At 37.2% G+C, this 8,227-nt stretch overlaps 1 long non-coding RNA gene across 1 annotated transcript in view, besides 3 other annotated features; it reads right to left on the bottom strand.

Moving 5' to 3' along the window:
- Positions 449-1,073: an enhancer, noted in NCBI's record as "OCT4-NANOG-H3K27ac hESC enhancer chr4:115417223-115417847 (GRCh37/hg19 assembly coordinates)". NCBI's record gives its function as "activates a minimal SCP1, AML or CMV promoter by ChIP-STARR-seq in primed H9 embryonic stem cells {active_cell/tissue: H9 hESC(primed)}" and the evidence as "EXISTENCE:reporter gene assay evidence [ECO:0000049][PMID:30033119]".
- Positions 1,074-1,699: an enhancer, noted in NCBI's record as "OCT4-NANOG-H3K27ac hESC enhancer chr4:115416597-115417222 (GRCh37/hg19 assembly coordinates)". NCBI's record gives its function as "activates a minimal SCP1, AML or CMV promoter by ChIP-STARR-seq in naive and primed H9 embryonic stem cells {active_cell/tissue: H9 hESC(naive and primed)}" and the evidence as "EXISTENCE:reporter gene assay evidence [ECO:0000049][PMID:30033119]".
- Positions 2,326-2,951: an enhancer, noted in NCBI's record as "OCT4-NANOG-H3K27ac hESC enhancer chr4:115415345-115415970 (GRCh37/hg19 assembly coordinates)". NCBI's record gives its function as "activates a minimal SCP1, AML or CMV promoter by ChIP-STARR-seq in naive and primed H9 embryonic stem cells {active_cell/tissue: H9 hESC(naive and primed)}" and the evidence as "EXISTENCE:reporter gene assay evidence [ECO:0000049][PMID:30033119]".
- The window catches only part of LOC105377379 (uncharacterized), a 35,996-nt gene continuing 30,801 nt past the window's right edge, over positions 3,033-8,227 (bottom strand). Inside the window, exon 5 of the long non-coding RNA XR_001741520.3 lies at positions 3,033-6,288. This is a non-coding gene — a long non-coding RNA (uncharacterized LOC105377379). The remainder of the gene's footprint in view (positions 6,289-8,227) is intronic.

Raw genomic sequence — 8,227 nt, 5'->3', positions numbered from 1 at the left:
TGGAAGGAAGGAAGCATGGAACCAGGAGCTCAGATGCAGGATCAAGATCTAATTCGAGTTGTTGATTTGGCTAGAAGGATACAATTAAGAGTTTAAAAGCAAACCTGAGAAAAAATTTTCAGCACTTGTATGCCTAGAAAGCTCCCCAAAGCAAGCATAACATGTACGAAAGAGGTTTTGCTTCCTCGATATTTTATTGGACTCTCAATTGAAACTATCAATAGAATAAAAAACTGGGTTCCTGTTTTCATATGAATATTTCAAAGATGTTTAATCACTAGGGGACAAAATCTAGAAATTAGCACTACAGATAATAATTTTATATATCTTTTCTGAAAACAAAGAATTATTCAATATAAATACCTGATGAAGACTAGAAAACACAGAAAATAAAATATAGATAATTGACCTCAAACCTCTGGATCTAAGATAACCATATTTTAGTATGTTTTCATTCCATGTGTGTTGGAATGAGGGATGGGGCATTTGTCTAGGAATAGTAAAACTGACTTTTTAAACTCAGAGTCAATTCAGGAGGAATTTGTGTGTATGTGCATGTGTGTGTGTGGCAGTTACAGCTTATTCCTGTAATGAGTAAAAAAAAAGTTATGACAAATTGATTTTCTTTGAAGTTTTATCCAGAAGCATCTTTGGGAAGCAACATCTGAACTAACTTCTGGGTTCTCTAGTGTGGCGACCTGCAGCTGTGATTCTATTCAGCCCCTCTTGTCATTGACTGAACTAATGGTCTACTTGACTTCCCAGTGCTCAAAATATTAATTAGAATACATCTCTTTATCAATACAATGTTAAGAGATTTCTTTTGTTTTCTAAGGGGTGTGTATGGATGTATATTAAATTTTTAACAATGCATTTTGCCTTCATACATGATGGGCAACTAGCTAATCTTTATTCATTTATTCACTCAATAAAATTATTATTGATGTCTACGATGTGCTATTCTGTCTTTCCAATTACTAAAAATGAAGAAGTAAAACATAGAGGTCTCTCTAATTCTTTCAAAACTTTATAAAAAAGACTTCTGGCTTTCAATATTCAGATAAAACTGAGACTGTGGCCTGGATTTACTTCTTTTCTTTTTCTTGCTGTTATAGGAGTTATTAAGAAATTATTTTTCCTAGATAGAGTGGAAAAACGGTTCTTGGAAAGTTTTTGTCTCTTTCAAAGCAGCTCCAGAAACATTTCTTGTCTAGCAGGAAAGCCTGGCTCTTAAGAGCCAGTCAGGCAACCTTTGATATGCAAATACAGGCCATTAGAAGCTACTTCCATCTAAACATGTTGATTCCCACCATTGTCCTCTTGCCCTTGCTCCCACATGTGCCTGGCAACATGCCTGCCCCCACATATCCGCAGGTATGTAGACCATCATGGCGCCCTGCATTTGCATATTAAAAGACTAGGTGGGAGGGCCCATTTTTTCGAGGGCTATGTGAATGACATGTTTAGTCAAACCAATCCCCTAAGCCCTATGCAGATCAGACACCGCCTCCTCCAGCCTCCTCATATAAAGCTGGTATCCGCTTCACTCCGGGTTTCCTCTCTTGGCCTTGGAGACCCTTTCCCTCTGTCTCCGTACAGGGAAGCTTCTTCCTTCTTTCTTTTTTCTTGCCTATTAAACTCTCTGCTCCTTGAAACTACTCCACGTGTATCTGTCATTTTATGCAATTCAGCCTAAGACAAGAGCCCTGGTGTTCCTCCACTCATTGAAGTCGTATCATTTCTTTTTCTTTTTCTTTCTTTCTTTCTTTTTTTTTTTTTTTTTTTTTTTGAGTCAGCGTCTTCGTCTTTCACTCAGGCTGGAGAGTAGTGGCACAATCATATCACAGCTCACTGCAGACTCGACCTCCTGGGCTCAAGCAATCCTCCCACCTCAGCTTCCCAAGTAGCTGGGACCACAGGCATGCTCCATCATGCTTGGCTAATTTTTGTATAATTTTATTTTATTTTTATTTTTTTTTTTTTGGAGAGATGAGGTTTCGCCATGTTTCTCAGGCTGCACTCACACTCCTATGCTCAAGCAATCTGCCGGCTTCAGCCTCCCAAAGTGCTGGGATTACAGGTCTGCACCACACACCTGGCCTTGGATTTATTTCTTTTAGTCCAAATACTCCTTTAATATTTCTGCAGTCTTATAATTACAATATCTGATCAGGAAGTGAGTCTCCTTTCATTAATGTTGTGTGAACTCTCTTTAAATCAATTAATGTAAACAGTATATTTTCCAGGAGAGTAAATTTTTCTTAAATTGTATACTTGATTTTAGTTTCTGTTTCAAGTTTTGTAATTTGATTCTTTTTCAGAAATACCTATAGAGAATCAAATCTTTCTTTTTTCTCCCACAGATACCATCTTCTCTTTGATAGCTTTCATGTTTTGTACTTTTCAACTTTTTTTTCTATATTCTAGGATGGTTTCTCAAATTCTCTGATGTGTTCATTTTGTTTTGCTATTTCGAATATGGATTTAGTTTAGGTGCATATTTTAGCTCCTCTACAATGTTTCTTTTTTTTTTTTACTCTACCAGTCTCTAAAAATCTATTTCCATTTCTTTAATAGGTCATTTAAGGGATCTGCATTCCTTTAAGTGTGTTGTTGATATGGTAATTGGGTCATGGGGGTGGTTTCCCCACCCTGTTCTCATGATAATGAGTGAGTCTCAGGAGATCTGATGGTTTTGTAAGTGTCTGGCATTTCCCCTGCTTGCACTCATTCCATCCTGCCCCCTGTGAAGAAGGTGCCTTTTTCTCCTTTGCCTGCTGCCAGGATTCTAAGTTTCCTGAGGCCCCACCCAGCAATGCAGAACTGTGAGTCAATTACACTTCTTTCCTTTATAAATTACCCAGTCTCGGGTATTTCTTCATAGCAGCATGAGAAGGGACTAATACAGTTGTATAATGCTCTTTTTCTTGTTTTAAAAAAAATACTGTAGGTCTAAACATTTGGTTGACTGCTTCTGCATGTTCAGATCTGGTGTTTTCCAACAGGGTCATGAATTGAAATTCCTGACTTACTTTTTTTTTTTTTTTTTTAATAACTCCAACTTTTATTTTCGATTCAGAGGGTACATGTGTAGGTTTGTTACATGGATATATTGCATGATGCTAAGGTTTGGGATGTGATTGTTTCCTTCACCCAGGTACTAATCGTAGTACATAGCATACACAACAGTTGGCTTTGAAACTTAATCTCCCCTTCTTCCTCCCAGTAATCCCCAGTGCCTATTGTTGCATCTTTATATCCACATGTACCCAGTGTTCAGCTCCCACTTATAAGCGAGAACATGTGGTATTTGGTTTTCTGTTCCTGTGTTAATTCACTTAGGATAATGGTCTCTAGCTGCCTCCATGTTGCTGCAAAGGACATGATTTCATTCATCATGAAATCCTTGCCAGTTCCTGTGTTCAGGGTGGTATTGCTTAGGCTGTTTTCCAGAGTTACTATAGTTTGAGGTCTTATATTTTAATCTTTAACCCATCTAGAGTTAATTTTTGCATACAGTGATAGGTAGGGGTCCAGGTTTATTCTGTATATTGCTAGCCAGCTATCGTAGCCATCATTTATTGAATAGGGAGTCTTTTCTTCACTGCTTATTTTTGTTGACTTGGTTGAAGATCAGATGTCTATAGGTGTGCAGCTTTATTCCTGGGTTCTCTATTCTGTTCCATTGGTCTATGTGTCTGTTTTTGTATCAGTACCATGCTGTTTTAGTTACTGTAGCCTTATAATATAGTTTGAAGTTGGGTAATGTGATAATGTGATGTCTCCAGCTTTGTTCTTTTTGAATAGGATGGCTTTGGCAAGCCAGGGTCTTTTTAAGTTCTACACTAATTTTAGAATAATATTTCTAATTGTATAGAAAATGATGTTAGTAGCCTGATAGGAATAGCAGTAAATCTGTAGATTGCTTTGGGCAGTATGGCCATTTTAACTATATTGACTCTTTCAATCCATGAGCATGGGAGGTTTTTACTGGAATCTTGTTAAATCCCTTTTTCTGATTTGTAATTGGATGCACAAATGAACTACAACCTACTATGGCCCTTAGGCAGAAAAATAATGCGGCATAATTACAAATTGACAATATTTAAATGTTTCCTTCATATTTATTTACTAGTGAAATAGTTGCTGCCTACAAAGGGATTTTTAAATCAAAACCATAATACTAAATAAGAAATATCATTATCATTTCCACTTTGGCAGAGGGAGGATTAGATTACATGTTTCCATGTTACAACTAGAATTATTTGTAGAGCCCCAACTGCATTATTACTGCTTTCTCACTGTTTTGATGCCCCTCATAGACTGGTGTACCTTGCAATAGTGTAATGGTATGACTGGCCTTACTCTTCATGCAGCTTAAGGCTAATGACACCTGAGTGTTGACAGGATCTTATCTGGAGAAACTTTGCTATATTCTACTGCCTGCTTTCTGTAAAGTCAAACATAGGAAATATGTGAAAAACCATTACAATGTAGAACTCAGTACTCTCAATCATCCTTCTCTGGCTCTCCTAATATACCCATTTTCCTTGAGCACAATGATTTCCCACTTAGCAATCGATATTCACTGTCTACCCTAACTTTGTTTAGACTCTTTCTTCTACTTTTCTATCATTATTCACTATTGATCTTCCTTGGGAATCTCATTCTTCAGCCAACTCTTCTCTCTCAATTTCTTGACCTTGCTTGTGATTAGAAAATGCATAAATTGGAAATTAAAAGAAAAAAGAAGGGTAAGCTACATGATATATGCAATGCAATTTTAGAAAACTTTATTATAAAATAATACCTATTTTATGAAATTTAGAAAATACAAATAATACAAAAAGAAAATTTATAATTGATAATCCCACTACCCAGAGAATATCACTGCTAACATTTTGGTATCCTGTCTACATGCATATAAAGAGATATGAGAAAGAAAGGATTATTATAAATAAACCATTTAACTTGATTTTAAATTAATAATTTGTCATGAATATAGCTTTTCATATTAGAATACTTTTTTTCTTACTATGTTAATACCTACATGGTATTATATGAATGTGACAGTTTATTAAATCAATGTTCATTGCTTTCAAATTTGCATTAGTATACATAATGCTGAGATTAGTATATTGGAATCTGTATGTGAATCATATGAATTCCCTTAGAATAAATCCCTAGAAGTATACAGAATTAAAAACCTTAATTAACGCAAACTGCTTTTTTGAAAGCCTGCAACATTACTCTCCCAGAAGTATTTTTTTAAAATCCATTTCCCAATACCCTTGTAAACTCTAGGTTTATCCAGCTGAAATTTTATGTCTTTTGACCAGCACCTTCTCAATAATCCCACCACCTGCATTCTGTAAGTTCAACATTTCTATTGTTTTAATTATGCCTTAATTGTCTGAAGATGTAATTGTCTTAAAATATTGTCTGTTGCGATATTTCAATTCTGCAGAATGGGTAATTTTATAAAGAATGGAGATTTAGTTAGCTCACTCTTCTGGAAGCTGGGAAGTCCAAGAGCATGGCACAGGTATCTAATGAGGGCCTTCCTGCTGTGTCATGACTTGGCAAGAGACATTATGTGGCAAGACAGAGCAAATGTTCCAGCTCAGGTCTCTCTTCCTCTTCTTATAAAGCTGCCAATCTCATGAGGTTCCTACCCTGAGGATCTTATCTAATGCTAATTACCTCCTGTCTTTGTCCATTTTGTGTTGCCGTAACAGAATCCCTGAGACTGGGTAATTTATAAAGAAAATAGATTCATTTGTTTCACAATTCTGGTGACAATTCTAGTCCAAGAGCATGATACTGTTATCTGCTCACCTTTTAGTTAGGGCCATGTGCTACATCACAACATAGCAGACAAGCAGTAAGGCGAGCAGATGAGTGCAAAGGGACACGCATGAGAGGCTGGGCTCACTTATAACAACCCACTCTCATGGGAACTAATTAATTTCTGCAAGAGCAAGAACTTACTCCTTTAAGACAGCATTAATCTATTCATGAGGGCAGTACTCCCATGTTTCAAACACCTCGCAGTAGGCCCACCTCCAAACACTGCCAAATTGGGAATCCAATTTCAACATAAGTTTCAGAGGGGACACAGTCAAACCAATAGCATTCGGCCCCTGGCCCCTCAAACTCATGTCTTTTTCAAGTACGAAATACAATCACCCTATAGCTGCAAAGTCTTACCTGTTTCAGCAACAACTCGATCGTTTAAAGTTCAAAATCTCATTTGAGTCTCAAGGCAAGCTCCCTCCAGCCATGAACCTGTAAAATGCAAAACAAGTTATCTACTTTGAAGATAAAATGGTAGGAGACGTATTGGGTAAACATTTTGATTTCCAAAAGGAGAAAATAGGCCAAAAGAAAGAAGTGACCAGCCCAAGCAAATCTAAAACTCAGCAGGGTAGAAATTTAATCTTAAAACTGCAAAATGATACTTTATTCCATATGCTGTCTCCTGGACATACTGGGGCTGGGGTTGGGCCCCCAAGGCCTTAGGCAGATCTGCTCCTAGGGCTGTGCTGGATGCACAGCTCAGGTGGTTACTTAGATGAGTTGGAGCCCAGTGTCTATAGCTCCCCAGGTGGATGTTGCATGCTGCCAGTGGCCCAACCCAGCAGTGGCTGCACTCCAACACTCCACTAGACATTGCCATGGTAGGGACTACCTGTGGCAACTTCACCCCTGGAGCAAGTTTTTGCTTGGATTCCCAGGCAGGTTGATATATCCTTTGAAGTCTAGGTGGGGACCACCACATCCCTACCTCTCTTGCATTTTGCAGACCTGCAGAATTAGCACTACCTGGATGTGGAAGCTGCGGAGGCTTATTGCTTGTGCCCTCCAAAGCTGCGGCACAAGATACACCTGGAGTCACTTGAGCCATGGCTGGAGCAGCCAGGATCCAGGGAGCAGCAATGTATGGATACAGGGAACTCCAGGCCCATCTCACAAAGCCATTTTGCCCTTCTAGACCTGTGCCTTTTCTCCGTTGTCCTAACACACAACACTTATCTTTCTTGTTTTCATGCTAATCTTATTAGAAAGTAGTCACTGGGCCACACCCTCAGCAATCTCTCCCAAACTTGCTTTTTTACCCTTAACATGATCAGGCTGTGACTTTTCCAGATTTTTTCGGCTTTGCTGCCCTTTAGTTGTAAATTCTGTTTTAAATTATTCATTTGCTCCCAGATCTCAGTATAAGCAGGTCAAAGTAACCACACAGCTCCTTCTCTAATTTGTTTAGAAATTTTTTCCAGAAATCCTAGTTCAACATTCTTAAGTTTCACCTTCATAAAACCCTAGAACATGGACACAATGGAGGCAAGTTCCTTGCTACAGTATAACAAGGATGGCTTTTACTCCAGTTCACAGTAAGATATTCCTCATTTCCATCACACCTTATCAGAATGGTCTTTACTGTACATATTTCTATTAGAAATATTAATAGAAAATGAACAAACAACAGAGTAAGTTTACAAAGCCACAAATATTTTGTTGAAATGATTAATAAAATTGGTAATCTTAACAAGGATTGATCAAGAAATAAGTAAAGAAACACAAATTACCTATAGCAACGAAGGAGTTGATATGATTACAGAGCTCATAGATATTGAAAAGATAATATTATAAAGAACTTTATCCTGATAAATATGATTATTTAAGTGGAATGAAAAAAATCTTGAAAAACACAATTTACCAAATCTGACAAAAGAGGAAATAGAAAATTTTAATAGCTCTGTAACTTTTAAAGGAATTGAACCTATTACCAAAACCCTTCCACAAAGAAAACTGTAGGCCCTTATGGCTCATCACTGAAATCTATAAATCACCTAAAGAAAAAATAAGTCTTACATAAGGCTTTTTCAGAAAATAAAGGTGGCAATAATACACCCCAGCTTGTTTTATGAGGATGGTATAACCCTGATACTAAAATGTGACAGAGATATTACAAGAAAAATTATCACCCAACTTAGCCACATAAAATGAAAAGGCAATAGTTTCACATCTGTTTGCATCTGATAAATGTCTTAAGGACTTGAATGTTATAAATCACTCTACTATAATGTGAAACATCTTTTATCAAATATCACAGGAATGATCAATATCTGATGACTGGAGAGGAAAAACAGAAGAGAAATACAAGTTTCTGCATGTCAGCCAAACATAGCTAACATTATTTTACAAAGCATCAGGAATTGCAGTG

Source organism: Homo sapiens, chromosome 4, assembly GCF_000001405.40.
Source record: "Homo sapiens chromosome 4, GRCh38.p14 Primary Assembly".
Classification (NCBI taxonomy): domain Eukaryota; kingdom Metazoa; phylum Chordata; class Mammalia; order Primates; family Hominidae; genus Homo; species Homo sapiens.
The sequence above is the reverse complement of the archived record's forward strand: the minus strand, read 5'-3'. Positions and strand labels throughout refer to the sequence as shown.